This window comes from Homo sapiens, chromosome 2 (assembly GCF_000001405.40).
Source record: "Homo sapiens chromosome 2, GRCh38.p14 Primary Assembly".
Classification (NCBI taxonomy): Eukaryota; Metazoa; Chordata; class Mammalia; order Primates; family Hominidae; genus Homo; species Homo sapiens.
This window is the reverse complement of record NC_000002.12, coordinates 110,401,256-110,424,102: the sequence shown is the minus strand read 5'-3', so window position 1 is coordinate 110,424,102 and position 22,847 is coordinate 110,401,256. Positions and strand designations below refer to the sequence as shown.

Here is a 22,847-nt window from a genome sequence, read left to right as displayed (position 1 = left end):
GCTGGACAAAGTCCCACTGCCAGGCTACACAGTTGGTGCCATTTGCGGAGGTGACCTTTGACCTTTAACCCACGCGGCCACCCGCCCGAGCTCTTACCCCTGCTGCCCCTCGCGCGTCCCACTCCCCGTCCCTGCCGGATCCGCTTCCCTGCGCTGGGCCCAGCGCGCCGCCAGGGAAGGGGCCGGAGCCTGGGAGCCCGCCCCGCCGTCGCCCGTCCTCCGCCCGCAGGCCCACCCGCAGCGGTCACGTGAAGGACCGAGCGCCGCGCGCCCAGGCGGGGCCTCCGGCCTGCACGAGGAGGGCAGAGTCCGTTGCGGCTGCCGCCCCGACGCCCGCGCATCCCCGCTCGCCGCGCCCGCCGCCGCGATGTCCGGGGCCGGCCTAGCCGCGGTGGTGAGCTGCCTGCGCCCGCAGCCCGGCGAGGAGCCGCAGACCCATGAGGTAAGGAGGACTTCCTGGCTGTGCTCGGAGGGCGCCCGGACGGCAGCGCCTCCTGCCCCTTCGTTGCCCTCCTGGTGCCGGGCGCCTCCGGGACTCCCAGGGAGAAAGCGAACCCGCTGGAAGCCACGGCCGGCTGCAGAGAATGAGGGCCCTTGGGGGTCAGCGGGACTAGGAACCCCTCTGCTTTCGGTCTTTCTCGGTTCCCTGCTCATTGGGCTGCTCAGCTGGGAGGCGCACCGCCAGCTAGAGCGCAGCCCGCACGTTGTAGTCAAGCGACCCGACAAGCCTCCCACTCTCCGGGGCTGAGCAGGGATCGGTGCTGGGGCTCCAGATTAGGGGCCATTCTCACTCAGTGAGGCGCGCACCCTTGTTTGGTGACCAATGCGCGTCCCCACAGAACTCCAAGGCAGCAGGAAAACGCCCGGAAAGAAGGCTGCAGGATGTGGGCCCCGGGAGTGCTGATGCAGCCCCGGGTCTTCCGATGCCTGCGGGACACAGCAGAAGGGCTGCGCAGCCGCTCAGGGTCTGTTTCGCTGCGATAGCCTGAGCTTCTTCGAAAGAGTTTGAGCTTCCAAGCGACCCTTCTTGATCTATTTTCTTGCACTGGACAAGAACTAAGACAGTGGAGAGGGAGGCAGGACTTCAATGGCAGGAGCCCCTGCTCTGATTCAGGAAATCTGAGGCCTGAATTACAATATGATGGGCCGTCAGAAGTCATGAAGACCATGGGTGACAACGTCGGTCAGGCCCTGGCACAGTGCCTGGCACAGTGCCTGGCACAGTCATGACAGCCAATCTTTAGACCCCTCAGGGTCCATGCTGCATCTCCTTTGCGTTGTGCAAGTGTGTGGGAGGTGGAGAGCGTTTTTGTTCAGTCTCCCTCTTAGTCTTGAACTGGCCCCCTTCAGCTCTGGGCTGCTGCATTATCACCCCTGCCGCTTCCCACTGGGCTCTTGAAGCCTGCTGGAGAGGGTCCACAGGGCAGGCTTGTGTGTGGAGTTGAAAAGCTCTGCCAGTCAGGGTGAGGTGGCTCAAGGCTGTAATCCTAGCTGCTCCACAGACTGAGATGGGAAGATTGCTTGAGGCCAGGAGGTTGAGGTTGCAGTGAGCTATCACTGTGCCACTGCACTCCAGCCTGGGCAAAAGAGCAAGACCCCATCTAAAAAAAAAAAAAAAAAAAAAAGCTCTGGTGCATACGTCTCCCTCTCTGGCCTGCAGGTCAGAGAGGTTTTGATGGAAAAACCTCCACACCAAAGGGGCTTGACCACATCCAACAGATGCATTCTACCATATGTCCTATCCCTCGAGAGAGCAGGTAAAGGAAAGGAGGGGGAAGTTCCTTTGTCCCCAGCTTTGGCCTTGCTTCTGCCATCTGAGATAACATCATTGATTGAGTCATTAAATCAGAGAAGGCATCTAGATCTTCTTCCCTCCCCAGGTTCTGACCTCGGGCACTCAATGGCCAATATAACTGGGTTAACCTTATTTAAGAATTAGTTTGGATTCATGTAACTAGAACCTGCCTAGTCACCTGAAATGCATTAACCCCCTCTCCTTTCAAATACTTATTTTTAAGACTCTTTTGTGATTGGAGTTTCTTTTTTTTTTGGCTACTAAGATGGCAATCTACTTCTTTGGGGGAATTTACCAACACTTTGAACTTTGAAATAGAAAGAACCCAATGCTAGTGATTCTCAATTTTGCCATTGGTTAGCATTAGCTAAGGAGCTTTTAGGACTGTATCCAGTTCAGCCTCTACCCCTGAGATTCTGATGTAATTGATATGGATGCGTCCTGGGCAGTAGTAAGTTTCAGGCTACTGAGTGATTCAAAAGTGCCACCAGGGTTGAGAGCCTGTGTCTTATGCCATTCCTTTGTGACAGTTCTATGTTAACCTCTTGATACTTTTATGTGCTTCTTTTTGAATGTTCTTGTTCTTAAACCTGTTCATGCAGATCCTGCATTACCCTGCTTTGCGGTCTTAATCCACTGGTGCTCCCTTTTAGCAATTTGCAGAGCTGTTGTTTGCAGTAACCAGGAGGGCTTGAGAAAGTGTTCCACTCAGGTGGTCCAAGGAGCAACATAAAGCCAGTGGGCTAGGTAGCAATGATTCAGTGAGGGAGAGGAGTGGGGTTTGTGATGACCTGATGGCATGTCCCCTGCCCAAAGAAGACCACAGCTACCCACCTCCAGTTGACCACGGCTATCATAGATTGCAAAAATGGCCAGAAAGTCTTCCCATCCCTGAATACATACCCTTTTTGCAATGTGCCTTTGCAACTCCTTATATCAAGAGGTGGGATCTGTTTCTCCAGCGCTTGAATCTGGGTTTGGCCATGAGACTTGCTTTGGCTGATGGGACATTAGTAGATGGGATACAGGCAGAGGTGTGAAAGGCACTCAGACATTGGTGCTTGCTCTCCTGATGCGCTTGGGAAACTTTGACCACGACCCGTGGAAGAGCCCTGGCTAGCCTGCTGCAGGACGCACATGGCCAAGATATGTGAGCAAGGCTGTTCTAGACCATCCAGTCCCAGATGACCACAGAGATCAGCTAAGTTGGCCCAGACCAGGACTGCCCAGCTGACCCACAGAATTGGGGAAAATAATAAGTGTTTATTTAGGTGACCAAGAATCAGGGTGGGTAGCAAAAACTTATTGAAATACAGCGCAGCATGGCTGAATGTTATAATCTTTTAAAGCGAAGCCAGAAGTTCAAATTTTTGTGTAAGCTCCAGCTTTTAAAAAATTGGAATGAGTAACCAGCATCTAAAAACACTCTCTGGGCCAAACAAAACACAACTTTAGGCTGCACTTGGCCTGTCAGTTGTTGGTTTGCTACTTTCTTTATAGAGGAACATAAGGTCTTTACCCTAATACCTCATTGCCACCTACTCAGTCACCCTTCTCCCACAACTGCTGTGCCCTGTCCTATCCCCCGCAGCTGTTTCTTCGTATAAAATGTCCACAATGTGTGTCAAGACCCCAGCTTTTCCAGGCAGTCTTTTTGTGTGGAAATAGAAGCTGCTGGGATTGCCAATCTTCATGGAGAAAGTGAAATTTGAGACAGGTGTCCAGTGAAGGAAAGTGGAAAAAAATACTCCTGGTTTTAAGTGAGCGTGAGATCAGGCACGGAGGTGGGTTCATAGAGGGACAGTGGACAAGTCCACCAATTTTGGCCAGAGAAAAGTGTTCCTATAGGGGAAGTGAGGGAGATTAAATTGGAGACAGGAGTAGAGGAGAGATTGTGGAGCCCCCAAATGCTAAGCCAAGGGTTTTGCACTCGATTGGACAAAGAGAAATCGCTTTAGGCAGAGAGAAATCACCTGATGCTTTTGAATGGGGGGGTCTCATGAGGAAAGCAGTAATCTATTCTATCAGTATGCAGGAAGAGCTTGTGGGAGGACACGGTGTACTGAGGGAGACAGAAGGTACAGTAGCCTCTCTTATCCATGGTTTTTTTGGTTTTGTTTTCTGCGGTTCCAGTTACTCTAGGTCAACTGCAGTCCAAAAATATCCAATAAAAATTTACAGAAATAAACAATTCATAAGTTTTCAATTGTGCACTGTTCTGAGTAGCATGGTGAAATCTCCGGATGTCCTGCTCTGTCCACCTGGGACGTGAATCATCTCTTTGTCCCACGTATCTATGCAGTAGACACTACCTGCCCACTAGTCACTTAGTAGCTGTTGGGTTATCAGATTGAAAAGACATAGTATATACAGGGTTTGGTACTATGCTCAGTTTCAGGAACTAACTGGGGGTCTTGGAACCTATTCTTCTCAATTAAGGGGGGACTACTGTGTAGTGTTTTTAGTAAGGAAAGGAGCATTGGAATTGGAAAGAAAAATGGAGAAGTGGAAGAATTTAACTTAAAATTTATGGGAACTTCTCTTTACCTTAAGTTATAGTTAATTATGTTAATGTTCTTACCTGTATAACCAAGACATATTGGCTGTTTTCAAAACACTTCTTCTTTTTCTTTTTTTTTTTTTTTTTTTTTGTTGTTGTTGTTGTTTTGAGATGGAGTCTCGCTCTGTCGCCCAGGCTGGAGGGCAGTGGCGCGATCTCGGCTCACTGCAAGCTCCGCCTCCCGGGTTCACGCCATTCTCCTGCCTCAGCCTCCCGAGTAGCTGGGACTACAGGCGCCCGCCACCACGCCCGGCTAATTTTTTGTATTTTTAGTAGAGATGGGGTTTCACTGGGTTAGCCAGGATGGTCTCGATCTCCTGAGCTCGTGATCCGCCCACTTTGGCCTCCCAAAATGCTAGGATTATAGGCGTGAGCCACCACACCTGACCTCAAAACACTTCTATCAACAACTTTGCATTTTGCCTAGGTTATTTTTGACTGACTTAAAGGTATTTGGGGGCTTACAATGGTTTATTACTACCACAGTTAATACTGAAGGAGGCGTTTGCTGGGTTCATAGAGAAGGAACTTTCTTGCTCTCTCCACTGAGAGCCTCTGGAATCTTATCTTTCCCTCCTTCCTGCATTCCTTTCACCCTCTAAGGGATTCCAAGGGATTCATCTTCCCCAGAATGAAGGCTTACTGAGTTGAGGGGTGGGGATGGAAGAGAAAACACAAAATCCTTAACAACATTTTTAAGTCTTGGGAGGAGGAAAATAAATATCACAGCTCTGAGAAGAAGAGAAAGAGAAAATCAAGAGAAGGCAATTATTGTCATGGTGCAATTAAAATAGAAAACAGGAGGGGTGCAGTGGTTGTTACCTGTGATCCCAGCACTTGGGGAGGCCAAGCTGGATGGATTGCTTGAGCCCAGGAGATTTTGAACAGCCAGGACAACATGGCAAAACCTGTCTCTACAACAAAAATTAGCTGGGCATGGTGGCGTGCACCTGTAGCTCCAGCTACTCAGGAGGCTGAGGCAGGAGAATCGCTTGAGCTTGGAGGTGGAGGCTGCAGTAAGCCATGATCATGCCACTGCACTCTAGCCTGGGCAACAGAGTAAGACCCTGCCTCAGAAAAAAAAAAAAAAAAAAAAAGAAAGGAAAGGAAAATAGAAGAAATACTAGGAAAATGGCTATATTTACATCAGTGGTTTTCAGTCTTGACTGCATGTTCAAATCATTTGTGAACTTTAAAAGATTAATCGTGGGAGGGTCCATTCCAAGATGGCCAAATAGGAACAGCTCCAGTCTGCAGCTCCCAGTGTGATCGATGCAGAAGACGGGTGATTTCTGCATTTCCAACTGAGGTACATGGTTCATCTCATTGGGACTGGTTGGACAGTGGGTGCAGCCCATGGAGGGTGAGCTGAAGCAGGGCAGGGCATCGCCTCACCTGGGAAGTGCAAGGGGTCAGGGGATTTCCCTTTCCTAGCTGAGGGAAGCTGTGAAAACTGTACCTGGAAAAACAGGACATGCCCACCCAAATACTGTGCTTTTCCAATGGTCTTAGCAAATGGCATACCAGGAGATTATATCCCGCCCCTGGCTCAGTGGGTCCCACACCCACGGAGCCTTGCTCACTGCTAGCGCAGCAGTCCAAGATCGAACTGTGAGGCTGCAGCCTGTCTGGGGGACGGGCATTCACCATTGCTGAAGCTTGAGTAGGTAAACAAAGCATCCAGGAAGCTTGAACTGGGTGGAGCCCACCACAGCTCAACAAGGCCTGCCTGCCTCTGTAGACTCCACCTCTGGGGGAAGGGCATAGCTGAACAAAAGGCAGCAGAAACTTCTGCAGATTTAAAACATCACTGTCTGAAGAGAGCAGTGGTTCTCCGAGCACAATGTTTGAGCTCTGAGAATGGACAGACTGCCTCCTCAAGTGGGTCCCTGACCCCCGTGTTGCCTAACTTGGAGACACCTCCCAGTAGGGGCCGACTGACACCTCATACAGCCAGGTGCCCCTCTGAGAGAAAGCTTCCAGAGGAAGGATCAGGCAGCAACATCTGCTGTTTTGCAATATTTGCTGTTCTGCAGCCTCCGCTGGTGATACCCAGGCAAACAGGGTCTGGAGTGGACCTCCAGCAAACTCCAACAGACCTGCAGCTGAGGGACCTGACTGTTAGAAGGAAAACTAACAAACAGAAAGAAATAGCATCAACATCAACAAAAAGGTCATCCACACCAAAAACCCATCTGTAGGTCACCATCATCAAAGACCAAGGGTAGATAAAACCACAAAGATGGGGAGAAACCAGAGCAGAAAATCTGAAAATTGTAAAATCCAGAGCACCTCTTCTCCTCCAAAGGATTGCAGCTCCTCACCAGCAACGGAACAAAGCTGGACAGAGAATGACTTTGACGAGTTGACAGAAATAGGCTTCAGAAGGTCGGTAATAACAAACTTCTCTGAGCTAAAGGAGGATGTTTGAACCCATCGCAAGGAAGCTAAAAACCTTGAAAAAAGATTAGACGAATGGCTAACTAGAATAAACGGCGTAGAGAAGACCTTAAATGACCTGATGGAGCTGAAAACCGTGGCACAATAACTATGTGACGCATGAAGAAGCTTCAGTAGCCAATTCGATCAAGTGGAAGAAAGGGTATCAGTGATTGAAAATCAAATTAATGAAATGAAGTGAGAAGAGAAGTTTAGAGAAACAAGAGTAAAAAGAAATGAACAAAGCCTCCAAGAAATATGGGACTATGTGAAAAGACCAAATCTATGTTTGATTGGTGTACCTCAAAGTTATGGGGAGAATGGAACCAAGCTGGAAAACACTTGTCAGGATGTTATCCAGAAGAACTTCCCCAACCTAGCAAGGCAGGCCAACATTCAAATTCAGGAAATACAGAGAACACCACAAAGATACTCCTCGAGAAGAGCAACCGCAAGATACATAATTGTCAGATTCACCAAAGTTGAAATGAAGGAAAAAATGTTAAGGGCAGCCAGAGAGAAAGGCCGGGTTACCCACAAAGGGAAGCCCATCAGACTAACAGCGGATCTCTCGGCAGAAACTACAAGCCAGAAGAGAGTGGGGGCCAATATTCAACATTCTTAAAGAAAAGAATTTTCAACCCAGAATTTCATATCCAGCCAAACTAAGCTTCATAAATGAAGGATAAATAAAATCCTTAACAGACAAACAAATGCTGAGAGATTTTGTCACCACCAGGCCTGCCTTACAAGAGCTCCTGAAGGAAGCACTAAACATGGAAAGGAACAACCGGTACCAGCCACTGCAAAAACATGCCAAATTGTAAAGACCGTCGATGCTAGGAAGAAACTGCATCAACTAACAGGCAAAATAACCAGCTAACATCATAATTACAGGATCAAATTCACACATAACAATATTAACCTTAAAGGTAAATGGGCTAAATGCCCCAATTAAAAGACACAGACTGGCAAATTGGATAAAGAATCAAGACCCATCAGTGTGCTGTATTCAGGATACCCATCTCACATGCAGAGACACACATAGGCTCAAAATAAAGGGATGGAGGAAGATCTGCCAAGCAAATGGAAAGCAAAAAAAAAGCAGGGGTTGCAATCCTAGTCTCTGATAAAACAGACTTTAAACCAACAAAGATCAAAAGAGAAAGAAGGCCATTACATAATGGTAAAGGGATCAATTCAACAAGAAGAGCTAACTATCCTAAATATATATGCACCCAATACAGGAGCATCCAGATTCATAAAGCAAGTCCTTAGAGACCTAGAAAGAGACTTAGACTCCCACACAATAATAATGGGAGACTTTAACAACCCCCTGTCAATTTTAGACAGATCAACGAGACAGAAGGTTAACAAGGATATCCAGGACTTGAACTCAGCTCTGCACCAAGCAGACCTAATAGACATCTACAGAACTCTCCACCCCAAATCAACAGAATCTACATTCTTCTCAGCACCACATCGCACTTACTCCAAAATTGACCACTTAGTTGGAAGTAAAGCACTCCTCAGCAAATGTAAAAGAACAGAAATTACAACAAACTGTCTCACAGACCACAGCGCAATCAAATTAGAACTCATGACTAAGAAACTCACTGAAAACCGCACAACTACATGGAAACCGAACAACCTGCTCCTGAATGACTACTGGGTAAATAACGAAATTAAGGCTGAAACAAAGATGTTCTTTGAAACCAACGAGAACAAAGACACAATGTACCAGAATCTCTGGGACACTTTTAAAGCAGCATGTGAGGGAAATTTATAGCACTAAATGCCCGCAAGAGAAAGCAGGGAAGTTCTAAAATCGACACCCTAACATCACAATTAAAAGAACTAGAGAAGCAAGAACAAACACATTCAAAAGCTAGCAGAAGACAAGAAATAACTAAGATCAGAGCCGAACTGAAGAAGATAGAGACAGAAAAAAAACCTTGAAAAAATCATTGAATCCAGGAGCTGGTTTTTTGAAAAGATTAACAAAATTGATAGACCGCTAGCAAGACTAATAAAGAAGAAAGGAGAGAAGAATCAAATAGATGCAATAAAAAATGATAAAGAGGATATCACCACCGATCCCACAGAAATACAAACTGCCATCAGAGAATGCTATCAATACTTCTACACAAGTAAACTAGAAAATCTAGAAGAAATGGATAAATTCCTGGATGCATACACCCTCCTAAGACTAAACCAGGAAGAAGTCGAATCCCTGAATAGACCAATAACAGGCTCAGAAATTGAGGCAGTAATTAATAGCCTACCAACCGAAAAAAGTCCAGGACCAGACCGATTCACAGCTGAATTCCACCAGAGGTACAAAGAGGAGCTGGTACCATTCCTTCTGAAACTATTCCAATCAATAGAAAAAGAGGCAATCCTCCATAACTCATTTTATGAGGCCAGCATCATCCTGATACCAAAGCCTGGCAGAGACACAACAAAAAAAGAGAATTTTAGACCAATATCCCTGATGAACATCGGTGCGAAAATCCTCAATAAAATACTGGCAAACTGAATCCAGCAGCACATCAAAAAGCTTATCCACCAAGATCAAGTTGGCTTCACCCCTGGGATGCAAGGCTGGTTCAACATACACAAATTAATAAATGTAATCTATCACATAAACAGAACCAAAGACAAAAAACACACAATTATCTCAATAGATGCAGAAAAGGCCTTTGACAAAATTCAACATCCCTTCATGCTAAAATCTCTCAATAAACTAGGTATTGATGAAATGTATCTCAAAATACTAAGAGCTATTTATGACAAACCCACAGCCAATATCATACTGAATGGGCAAAAACTGGAAGCATTCCCTTTGAAAACTGGCACAAGACAGGGATGTCCTCTCTCGCCACTCCTATTCAACATAGTGTTGGAAGTTCTGACCAGGGCAATCAGGCAAGAGAAAGAAATAAGGGGTATTCAATTAGGAAAAGAGGAAGTCAAATTGTCCCTGTTTGCAGATGACATGATTGTATATTTAGAAAACCCCATCATCTCAGCCCAAAATCTCTTTAAGCTGATAAGCAACTTCAGCAAAGTCTCAGGAGACAAAATCAATGTGCAAAAATCACAAGCATTTCTATACACCAATAACAGACAGAGAGCCAAATCATGAGTGAACTCCCATTCACAATTGCTACAAAGAGAAAAAAATACCTAGGAATCCAACTTACAAGGGACGTGAAGGACCTCTTCAAGGAGAACAACAAACCACTGCTCAATGAAATAAAAGAGGACACAAACAAATGGAAGAACATTCCATGCTCATGGACAGGAAGAATCAATATTGTGAAAATGGCCATACTGCCCAAGGTAATTTATAGATTCAATGCCATCCCCATCAAGCTACCAATGACTTTCTTCACAGAATTAGAAAAAACTACTTTAAAGTTCATATGGAACCAAAAAAGAGCCCTCATTGCCAAGACAATCCCAAGCAAAAAGAACAAAGCTGGAGGCATCACGCTACCTGACTTCAAACTATACTACAAGGCTACAGTAACCAAAACAGCATGGTACTGGTACCAAAACAGAGATATAGACCAATGGAACAGAACAGAGGCCTCAGAAATAACACCACACATCTACAACCATCTGATCTTTGACAAACCTGAGAAAAACAAGCAATGGGGAAAGGATTCCCTATTTAATAAATGGTGCTGGGAAAACTGGCTAGCCGTATGTAGAAAGCTGAAACTGGATCCCTTCCTTATGCCTTATACAAAAATTAATTCAAGGTGGATTAAAGGCTTAAATGTTAGACCTAAAACCATAAAAACCCTAGAAGAAAACCTAGGCAATACCATTCAGGACATAGACATGGGCAAGGACTTCATGACTAAAACACCAAAAGCAATGGCAACAAAAGCCGAAAGAGACAAATGGGATCTAATTAAACTAAAGAGTTTCTGCACAACAAAAGAAAATGCCATCAGAGTGAAAAGGCAACCTACAGAATGGGAGAAAATTTTTGCAATCTAGCCATCTGACAAAGAGCTAATGTCCAGAATCTACAAATAACTTAAACAAATTTACAAGAAAAAATCAAACAACCCCATCAAAAGGTGGGCAAAGGATATGAACAGACACTTCTCAAAAGAAGACATTTATGCAACCAACAGACACATGAAAAAATGCTCATCATCACTGGTCGTCAGAAAAATGCAAATCCAAACCACAGTGAGATTCCATCTCACACCAGTTAGAATGGCAATCATTAAAAAGTCAGGAAACAACAGGTGCTGGAGAGGATGGGGAGAATAGGAATGCTTTTACACTGTTGGTGGGAGTGTAAATTAGTTCTACCATTGTGGAAGACAGTGTGGCGATTCCTCAAGGATCTAGAACTAGAAATACCATTTGACCCAGCAATCCCATTACTGGGTATATACCCAAAGGATTATAAATCATGCTACTATAAGGACACATGCACACATATGTTTATTGTGGCACTATTCACAATAGCAAAGACTTGGAACCAACCCAAATGTCCATCAGTGATAGACTGGATTAAGAAAATGTGGCACAAATGCACAATGGAATACTATGCAGCCATAAAAAAGGATGAGTTCATGTCCTTTGTAGGGACATGGATGAAGCTGGAAACCATCATTCTGAGCAGACTATCGCAAGGACAGAGCACCAAACACCATATGTTCTCACTCATAGGTGGGAGTTGAACAATGAGAACACTTGGACACAAGACGGAGAACGTCACACACTGGGGCCTGTCATGGGTTGGGGGGATGGGGGAGGGATAGCATTAGGAGAAATACCTAATGTAAATGACGAGTTAATGAGTGCAGCAAAACAACATGGCACATGTATACATGTGTAACCTGCACGTTGTGCACATGTACCCTAGAACTTAATAATAATAATTAAAGATTAATCCTGGGTTCTACCTCCCAGAGGTTCTGATGCAGTTGGGGTCTGCATGTGACCTGGACTTCAGTAGGATCTTTAAAAGTTGTTAAGATGATTGTCATATGCTGTGGGGATTGAGAATCACCACTCCCACAGTTGCCAATGCCTCCCATAGTTGGGATGCTGTTTTGAGGTTTGCAGCCACATTTAAGCTGCATCTGGGGAAACATCTGCTATTTGGTCTTTGCTATTTTCATGGTAGATATGGACAGTGGTTCGCATGTAAACTTGAAAAGTATGTGAAGTTGTGGAATGGGGTGTCTAACATAATCCACATTCTTGGGTTGGGTAAAAACAGTTTGTTTTATGGGAAAATACAAATGGCCTTAGTTCAAATAAACATGCTTATTACAGTAAAGTCTGTCTTCTAAGAGTACCGCTTCCCACACGGAACGCAGGACACTTAGAAGTTGCGCACAAATGGGAGGGAGGAGGAGAAGGAAGGCAATTAGAACCAAAGCATAAAGGAGATGCGATTTTAAAAGGAGATAGATGTCAGAAATGTAATACCAGTTAAGAATGGGAAAGCTTTGAAACGTTAGTGTAAGGGTGAAATGGCTATTATGATAGAATCAGCAGATTTTAAAACAGCAAGGATGAGTTCAGATGGCAGTTGGTGGGGGTGATGAGGTGCTGGTCATTCAATGTCTGGGGTCTGGGATCTGTCTCATGGAGATGACCCCGAGGGCCTGACTGGCTGAGGCATTGCTGGTGAGTGTTTTTTTCCTTTCTCTACCTGGAGGGCATATGAAGGATGCATCTCAAATCCGTGAGTGTTGAACTGCTTACGTTTGTGGACAAGTGGCCTCACTGGGACTGTAAGGATGTTTGTAGCATCACTGGGGACAACAGTGGCCTTAAAAGATCTTTGCCAGCAATTTTTTTAAAAAGCCTCAATGTCAGAACTCTTCAAGTATGATCTTTTTGAGGCTTAATGGAATTTTCTTAAAGTTGGTGTGTGTTCATTAAAAAAAAAAAAATCAACTCTTGCTGATGCGAGGCATTTTCTACCTAAAATATATTTCTAAGCATGTCCTGGGAACTGTATTCTTCCTCAGTGTTAAAGATTTTCAATGAAAAAAATAATTGATATTAATGGTTTTCCTACTAGAATGTTTTTTAAATATGTAAAAGAAAAATGTTTGGCTGGGCATTGTGGGTCACGCCTGTAATCTCAGCACTTTGGGAGGCCGAGGTAGGCGGATCACTTGAGGTTAGGAGTTTGAGACCAGCCTGGCCAACATGGTGAAACACTGTCTCTACTAAAATTAGAGAAACTAGACTGGCATGGTGGTGCGTGCCTGTAATCCCAGCTACTCAGGAGGCTGAGGCAGGAGAATCGCTTGAAACCGGGAGGCAGAGTTTGCAGTGAGCCGAGATTGTGCCACTGCACTCCAGCCTGTGTGACAAAGTGAAACTCTATCTCGAAAAGGAAAAAAAAAAGAAAAATGTGTGATAAGTGTTAAACACATTTACATGGTGCTTCTTAGATTTTAATAAACTGCCTGTAAGAATTGCCATACCAACCCTGAGCATACCTGTTACTCAAAAAGCGATCGGCTCTTACGGCAGTTAATTCATCTATGAGATTATTGTTCTACATCAACTTTTTTAATCCAAGTATTTGTCTTTCATTTTGGGCATTTTAACAGCTTTTTTAGATTATAATAGACATACACTAAACTACATTTATTTGAAGTATGCAGCTTGATGAGTTTTGGTGTATGAATGCCCTTGGGATAGTAATGCCATGATAAGAATAATGAACATATCAGTCACCCCTATATGTTTTCTTATGCCTATTTGTAATCTCTCTCTCTCTCAGTTCTCTTCGTTCCACTCTTTTTTTTTTTTTTTTTTTTTTTTGAGACGGAATCTCTCTCTGTCGCCCAGGCTAGAGTGCAATGGCACAATCTCGGCTCGCTGCAACCTCCGCCTCCCGAGTTCAAGCTATTCTCCTGCCTCAGCCTCTCAAGTAGCTGGGATTACAGGTGCATGGCACCATGCCCGGCTAGTTTTTGTATTTTTAATAGAGACGGGGTTTCGTCTTGTTGGCCAGGCTAGTTTCAAACTCCCGACCTCAAGTGATCTGCCCACCTCAGCCTCCCAAAGTGCTGGGATTATAGGCATGAGCCACCATGCCCAGCCTGTTCCCATCTTCCTCCCCCTGCCAACACACGACCACTGATGCGGGTTCTGTCACTGTAGGTTAGTTTTCATTTTCCAGAATTTTATGCAGATGGAATCATACAGTGAGTACTCTTTTCGGGGGGTGGTTGGCTTCTTTCACTCGGCACAGTTATTTTGAGATTCATCCATTTTGTTACATCTATTAGTTACTCATTCCTTTTTATTGCTGAGTAGTATTCCATTGTAGAGATACAGTACACTTTGTTTATCCACTCACCTGTCTGTGGACATTTTGGTTTCTAGTTTTGGGCTGTTAAGCTGGGATGAACGTATGTGTATGTGTGCAGCTTTGGGATGAGGTGTCTAACATGAGCCACATACTTGGGGTGGATGTACTAGTCTTTGTGTGGACATATGCTGTCTTTCCTTTTGGAAAACACTTCAAAGTAGCATGGCTGGGTCATACTTTTTAACGTTTTAAGAAACTACCAAACTGTCTTCCAAAGTAAATGTGCCATTTTCTATTCCAACCAGCAACGTATGAGAGTTCCAGTTGCTCCACATCTTTGGCAAAACTTGCAAATATAAAAGGAATTTTGTGTTTTGTGTTTATATGTATATAAATATATTAGGTAGTGTAAATACACATAGTATATAATTTTGTGTTACAGATTTGTTTGTATGTATATGTATATATACAGTAATGCGTCACTTAACAACAGGGATATATTCTGAGAAATGGATCACTAGGGGATTTCATCATTGTGCAAATATCATACAATGTACTTACACAAACTTAAATGGCATAACTTACTAGACACCTAGGCTGTAGACTATTTTTCTAGGCTACAAACCTGTAGAGCATATTACTGTACTGAATATGGCAGGTAACTGTAACACAATGGTGTATTCGTGTATCTCAACATAGAAAAGGTACAGTAAAAATATGGTATAAAAGGTAAAAGATGAATAGGGCACTTCCCATGAATGGAGCTTGCGGGACTGGCAGTTGTCCTGGGTAAGTCAGTGAATGAGTGGTGAGTAAATGTGAAGGTCTAGGAATCACTGCACACTACTGTAGACTTTAGAAACACTGTACAGTTGACTACATTTATAAAAAATATTTTTCTTTCTTCAATAACAAATTAACCTTAGCTTACTATAAATTTTCTACTCTATAAACGTTTTGATTCTTTTGCAATAGCAGCTTAAAACACATTGCATAGCTATACTAAATATTTTCTTTCTTTATATCCTTATCCTATAAGCTTTTTTCTATTTTTAAACTTAAAAAATGTTAACTTCATAAACTCTTTATTAAAAACTAAGACACAAACGTATGCATTGGCCTAGGCCTACACAGGGTCAGGACCCTCAATATCACTGTCTTCCACTTCTGCATCTCATCCCACTGGAAGGTCTTCAGGGGCCATAACACTTATGGAGCTGTCACCTCCTGGAATAACAATGCCTTCTTCTGGAATCCTCCTGAAGGACTTGCCTGAGGCTGTTTTACAGTTAACTTTTTTTTTTAATAAGTAGGAGTGCAATCTAAAATAACCATAAAAAGTATAGTGTAGTAAATACATAAACCAGTAACATAATCATTTATTATCATTATCAAATATTATGTACCATACATAATTGTATGTGCTAGAATTTTATACGACTGGCCGTGGAGGTTTGTTGACACCAGCATCACCACAATTTTGTATTTTGTTGTGCTATGACCTCACTAGGTGGTAGGAATTTTTCAGCTCATTATAATCTTATGGGAACCCTGTTATATATGTGGTTCATTGTTGACCAGAATGTTATGGGGCACATGACCGTATATATATTTGTATATACATGTGTACCTAACCATATATTAATATATGTATGTATGAATATACCATTTAGGTACAAATACATGCTCTAGTCAATGCTTATTTACATTTCCTCTGAGAGCCTATATTTGAATTCAAGAAAGTGGAGTGTGTCTGGACCTGGTCCCACTGCAGGATTCTCGGTGCTCAAAGAGACATTGGAGGTGTGGAGACAACACTGTTTAGATGTTGGCTACCTCTGGGAGAGTGGGTCTGTGGAGAGGCGAAGGGGAGCTTCCTTTTATACTCAGTGCATACTTAACAAAGGAAAAAGAAAAGTATCCTCTCCTCCTCTGACTTGGTCTCCCTTACTCTGTCTCAATGGGGAACAGGACCTTCTCCTGGCAGCTGCCTATGTTTTGGATGCCCAGTACAACAGAAATGTTCCATTTGAAACTCACCTCAGGCCATCAGGTAACTAACATGTTAAACCATCATGTGGAACCACCTGTCCTTCAGCACTTGATACTCTTGAACTTGAACCCAAACTGAAGGCATTGTTTACACAGATATTTTGAGAAGTATATAGGGTACAGCACATAGATTTGGACGTAATCCAATACTTTTTTTTTTTTTTTTGAGACAGGGTCTTGCTTTGTTGCCTGGGCTGGAGTTCAGTGGTGTGATCATGGCTCACTGCAGCCTTGAACTCCTGGGCTCAAGTGATCCTCCCACCAAGGCCTGGGATTAGATATGTGAGCCACCATGCCTGGCTGAATTTTTTTTTTTTTTGAGTTATAAGAGCATGGGCCTCACACGCAGGGAAGCATTCAATAAATAGATTAAGATCAGACAAATGAGTAAAATGAGCAATACCCAGCATAGAAGCTAGGGCATTCAAGGGAAGAACTTGCCATTGTCTTTTCCTTTTATGTCATCCTCTTAGAGTTACCTCAAGTGAAAAGGCTTTTTTGTCCTGTCCATTGTTTTGTGATGCAATCCATATGTTTGCTCTTCTCATGGGAATTCAGCTTTTTCTCTGTCACCCCCTACAGGTGCTCAGCCTGTTTATCACTAGGGCTCAGCCTCAGGGCCTCCCAAGGCAGCCAATACCTCATCCCTGGATGTTGCCGAGCATGTTTGGGGTACTGTCCCCACCTGGGGAGAGACTGGCATGACCTTTTGCCAGATCTCTTCTGAGTCTATCATGTTAAGATGGGATGATGTACATTTTAAAATTGGGTTAGGCCACCATGCCACATCATAATGGGCCACTTTAACTGAGGGTTTAATCTGTGTCCGTCACTGTTCAAGTCCTCTGCAAGTATTCTCTTATTACTATCACAACAACCCCATGGGAAGGTATAATCTTAGCTTGAGACTGTTAAGAAAATGTGCTTTGAGTTATGATCATATGCTTGATTTTTTTGTGTTAGTGTTTATAGTATATGATCATTAAATACTGCCTCCTGCTCCCTAGAATTTAAAGGAAACATGACTAAGCCTTAACTTTCTTATTTTACCCAGCATTAGTTCTTTAAAGAGATGTTTGGGTGCTGTGTAGCTCCTGTTCGTTGTTTATAATCACTTTTGTCTTTTTCTCCTCCAGACGTTACTATTTTTATAACCACTAGACAACGCAGGTTGCCGCATACTTCTTTATTTGTGTAGACCTCGCTCTTGCCCTGTTTGAAGAGCCTGAGTTGCTTCCCCTGCCTTTCTTGGTAAGCAAGCCATAGCAGATGGCTAGCCAGATTTGGTCATAGATGATTGGGCCTTGTGCCTCTTCTTTTTTTCCCCTCAAATTTCAACAAATATGAATTAGATGTTATTTATTTTTTTTGCTGGGGGATTAGAGAAGTTCTGTCTACTCACCAAACACATGCTTCCTTCATAACGCATTTTAAGTGCAGTGGGAGATTTTGGTCTTCTGTGCACACACACACAAAATCAGAGATGGTTCAATGATGTTTTCAAAGCCAATTTACTTACTGCCAAGTAGATGATGTTCTCATATAGTGTAATATGCAACTTGTACATGCCACATTTTCAGCTTTTTTTCATAGTCATAAATTATTAGAGTATTTATTGGTGCTTAGGGGCTGATCACATTTGATTTTGAGTAATGTATCAAATTCACCAGCCAATCCAGAGAGGTCTAAATAGTAGACCAGTGCCCTGCCCATGTTGATTTCTGATTCGTCATTACTCTTACCTCTGTCTTAATAGCTGTCATTTGCTCCCTGCTTGCTATCTGCTGGGTGATCTCATGCTTTCTCTGTATTCTCCTTAAGCCTTACAGGGACTCAATGGGATGTGCCTGCTGTTATTATACCCATTTTAACAGATAAGGAAGCTGAGCCTAGAAAGATTGTATAACTTGTCCAAGGTTACTAGGCAACAAAGGCAGAACTAGGCTTCAAGCCTAAGCCTGATTTCAAAGCTTTTGCTTTTTAACAACCACACAGACCCTTTTTTATTCTTCCTTATTTCAGTTATCAATTGCACAAACATATTTACAAACCATCCTAAAACTCAAACACTTAAAACAAGGGTTGGGAAACCATGGCCTGTGGGACAAATTCAGCTGCTGCTTATTTTTGTACAGCCTATGAGCTAAGAATGGTGCTACAAATGGAATGTTTGTGTGTTCCCAAAATTCGTATTTCAAAACCTAGTCCCAGTGTGGAGGTATTTGGAGGTGATCAGATCATGAGGGCAGAGCCCATCTCATGAATGGGATTAGTCCCCTCATAAAAGATGCTTCAAGGAGCTCCCTTGCCCCTTCTGTCAAGTGAGAACGCCACAAAAAAAATGGCTGTCTGTGAACCAGAAAGTGGGCCCTCATCAGACACCAAATTTGACAGTGCTTTGATCTTGGACTTCCCAGCCTCCAGAGCTGTGAGAAATAAATTTCTGTTGTTTATGAGCCACCCAGTCTATGGTATTCTTTTATAGCAGCCTGATCAGACTAAGACAAATAGTTTTTACATTTTAAAATGACTAGGAAAAAGGACACTGAAGATTAATATTTTGTGACACATGGAAGTGATATGAAATACAAATTTTGCTGTCTGCAAATAATGTTTTATGGGAACATAGCCACACTTATTAATTTATGTGTTGTCTTTGGCTGCTTTGGAGCTACATCAACAGTTTAGTGGTTGTGACAGAGACTGTAAGACTTGCAAAGCTTCACATGTTTACTTTAACAGAAAGAGTTCACTAACCCCTAGCTTTAGAGAACAACAGCCTTTTATTATCTCCCATGACTCTGTGGGACATTGGCTCAGGTGGTGTGGCTGGGGTGGTAGATGTCTGGAAGCTCTTAGATCTCTGGAGGCTGGAACATCAAGGTAGCTCTCTCACGTGGCTGGCAGGAGCTGCTGGCTGTAGCTGTGGCCCCGGCCCTCTTCTATGTAGCTGCTCCACGTGGCTTAGGCTTTTCCCAGTGGGTGGCTGGGTCCAGGAAGGAGCATCCCAGTGTGCTGCACCATCAAACCTCTGCTTGCATCATACTTGCTGATGTCCTGTTGTCAATCACATGCCAAAACCTGAGTCAACTTGGGAGGCCACTGCAAAGGGGGTGAAAACTGTAAGTATGGCTCACTGGGGCTGCCCAAGTGACATCCACCAACTGTCTTACAATAAAGATCCGGCAATTAATGAATTCTCTGGATAGAAGACTTTTATCCCAATAACAGTCAACACAAACACAAAATCTGAAGAAACAGAGCTGTGCATTCACAAACCTGGACAGAGTGTTGTCTATCCCTCCTTAGCACTGGTCCACTCTGGCCAAGGTAGGAATCCCACAGAGTGGTCTTCTTAGCCATTTGCCTCTTTTCCTGAGTCCTCATCCCCTGTCTGTTATTGGTCATGTATAACTTTGGGTTGGCTGCCTGAGTTTCAGAGTGTTCCTTCAGCCAGCCCTTGTACTGTAAATCTCCAAAGTCCAGTGTGTTCTGAGGGCTTTGGCCCCCATCCAGCATTACCACGCAAGTCTTGTTTTAAGCAAGGATGTCCTGAAATTGCCTAAGGCCCTTTTGCAAAGCTGGACTTGACATTGGGTCTCTATAGCTCTTCAAGAGTCAACAGACTGAGAGCTAGAACATTTGCAAGGGGCTGCAGCCCAGTCTGTGCACAGACCCATGAGGGCTGGAACTAGGGGGCAATGATAGTGTCCCCTGCTGCTTTCAGGCCCACAGCCAGCCCCTTCCTCCTGTCTCTAGCTCTCACTCAAGACTTTTCCCTCTTTTTAGCCTAAGTCAAGTTGTCCCTTTCTCCATCTCTTCCTATCTTCCACCTGTCTCTCCCTATTGATGGAGGAACGTGCCCTTGTTAGGAAGTTGTTACTGCATCCCAACAGCCTCAGGCAAACCTTGGGCTGCAGTCATGGGCTTCAAGTCTAGCAGGTACAGGAGTCTGGAGTTGGCACCCGTAATCTACAGAGGGAGGCCCATCAGGACTTCGGTCTTGATCTCAGTGGGCTCCATCCTCGTCTCTAACCAGCCTCATATAGGCAGCAGGGCTGCAGTGGCAGTGATGTTTATGGAAGGACCCATTATTCCCAAACACATCTTTGGGGAATTACCTTACCGTTAGAGAAATGGGACTTCTAGGTGTCTGGAATTTGAACATGGGGAATTTGAGAGCATAGACGATCTCTGCCTCTGACCTCCCCCTTTTCTGGGGAAATGTGTTCTTGGTCCTCAGCCTGCTGGTGCAGCCCCTCCCAGGAATCCCTGCCAGTGTGGGTCATGGAGATTGTGACTCAGTGGCAGATTTCCCTTTCAGAGGAAGAAGCCATTCTAACCGGCAGAAAATGTTGCTGCAATTTTCAGTAAAATTAAGGGACATGACAAATTCTCAGAGGGTGCCAGGCAGGAAAGGTAGGGTAGTGGCAGGGGACAGGGGGTGGTACTGGATAACTAAAGCTGAGCCTCCCCATGGCAAGCCCTCGTGCTCAGCCTCTGTTTTCTCCTTGCAGGCCACCTCAATAGCAGAAGTACTCTGCCTGACTGCATACTTTGGCAGACTGGTACATTTTGCAAAAGTCACTCCTCAAATGGTTTTCTGGAAGGATACAAAAGACATCTGCACCATGGTAACCACAGTGGCGAGTGTTCATTGTAGTACCTGTAAGAGTTTATGACCAAAGGCAGGAGCCATGAAGAAAAAAGACTCAATAGATTTGCTTTTGATGAAACAACAACACTTCCATACAGTGAACGCCATAAGCACAACTGCAAGCAAACCGCAAACTGAAGAACAAATAGGGCAAAATGTGGCAGTGCAGACATTTCAGCATATCAAGAGCACTTCCAAATTACAGGAAAAAAAAGATATCTCAATAGATAATTTTGCTGAAGATAAGTGAAGGCAACTCATAAGGAAAAAATATGTAAAATGGCCGATAGGAAAGATGTTTAACGTCACTAATTAAAAATTATAGAATAAAACGACAATAAAATACCATGTGTTTGCCTATAAAACAATCTTAGCAAGATTGAAAACAAACTTTTTGTAATTTCAATTTTTAGTTTAGATTCAGGTGGTACATGTGCAGGTTTGTTACATGGGTATATTTCGTGATGGTGAGGTTTGGGGTACAACTGATCCCATCACTCAGGTAGTGAGCCTAGAATCCAGCAGGTAGTTTTTCAACCCTTCCCCTCCTCTGTCCCTTCCCCTCAGGAATCCCCAGTGTCTACTGTTGCCATCTTTGTGTCCATGAGTACCCAGTGTTTAGCTCCTACTTATAAGTGACAACATGCAGTATTTGGTTTTCTGTTCTCTGTTAATTCACTTAGGATGATGGCCTCTGGCTGCATCCATACTACTGCAAAGGACATAATTTCATTCTTTTTAAATGACTGCATAGTATTCCATGGTGTATATGTACCACATTTTCTTTGCCTAACCCACCATTGATGAGCACCTAAGTTGCTTCCATGTCTTTGCCATAAAACAAATGTTCTTACACCCTACAGGAGAGAGGAATAAAACTGTCTTTCTGGAAGGCTCTTTGGCAGCTCCTTTCAAAAGCCTTGAAGGTGAATATATTTTAACCCTGGACTTCCATTCCTGGGAATTTATCTGTAGGAAAGAAGGATGCATTCAGAGATTTAGCCACAAAATTGGTGGTGGCTGACGGTTTATAATATTGAAAAATTGGAAACAACCTGATTTCCAGACAAAAATTATAAGACATATGTCTTAAGTAGAATGTGATATATTCATGCAGCCTCCTGTGCTGTCCTCTCACTCCTTTGCTCCATCTGTTATTTGAAAGGCCCTGGGAATGAGACCTGCCTTTTTAGCCTGGCCTGCAAAGCCACCTTCCATAGGTCCTTATCACTTTCTGCTGCTTCCCTTTGCCGCCACTCCCAGGACCCTCTGCTTCCCAACATGCCAGCCCAGTACTTCCTCAAGAGTCCTTTTATTCTATCTTCTTGTCTAGCTCTTGACCTTCCTGAGTTTTTATTAAAGCTCTGCTGTGCTGTAGGTTACATCAAAGAGTGCCTCCTCCATGAAGCCCCTCAAATATCTTAACCCTTGGTGATCCACCTGTCCTCGCTCCCCTGGGACAGCCACACTGGTTTCCTCCAGTGCGGCAGTTGTGAACCAGCCTCATTTCTTAGCTGTTTCCCCCGCCTGTGGGCGGCAAGCCACTCAGGTGCCAAGGCAAGAGACTGAAGGCAAAAACTGTTCCAGTATAATAAAGAAAATATACAGAATAAGAATAGTTATACTAGAAATAGATTATAGATATGATTATATATGAATATCATTAATCATTAGTTTGTTAACATTACTCTTTATTCCAATATTATAATAATCTTTGTTCTACAATTATAACTTAGGAAAAACCAGGCCATACAGAGATAGGAGCTGAAGGGACACGGTGAGAAGTGACTGGAAGACAAGAGCGTGAGCCCTCTGTTACGCCTGGAAAAGGCCACTAGAGGGCTCCCTAGTCTAGCGGTAACGCCAGCACCTGGGAAGACGCCCCTTACGTAGCGGACCTCGGTCTAGCGGTAGCGTCAGTGCCAATGGAAGGCACTATGGAGTCTCCCTTTCCTTGGGGGAGTTAGAGAAGACTGCTGTACCACCTCTTGTGGAAGGCCTGACACCAGTCAGCCCCGCCCACAGC

General features: G+C 44.0%; 1 protein-coding gene and 1 pseudogene across 5 annotated transcripts in view; both read left to right on the top strand.

Moving 5' to 3' along the window:
- Positions 1–22,847, top strand: part of LIMS4 (LIM zinc finger domain containing 4) — a 113,949-nt gene that overhangs the window by 48,973 nt on the left and 42,129 nt on the right. The gene's annotated exons all lie outside the window — the stretch shown is intronic.
- LOC100288570 (glycosylphosphatidylinositol anchor attachment protein 1 homolog (yeast) pseudogene) lies at positions 287–21,186 on the top strand (annotated as a pseudogene). The gene is made up of 4 exons (NR_037627.1): positions 287–442; positions 16,084–16,165; positions 17,301–17,415; positions 20,682–21,186. The product of NR_037627.1 is annotated as a glycosylphosphatidylinositol anchor attachment protein 1 homolog (yeast) pseudogene (transcript).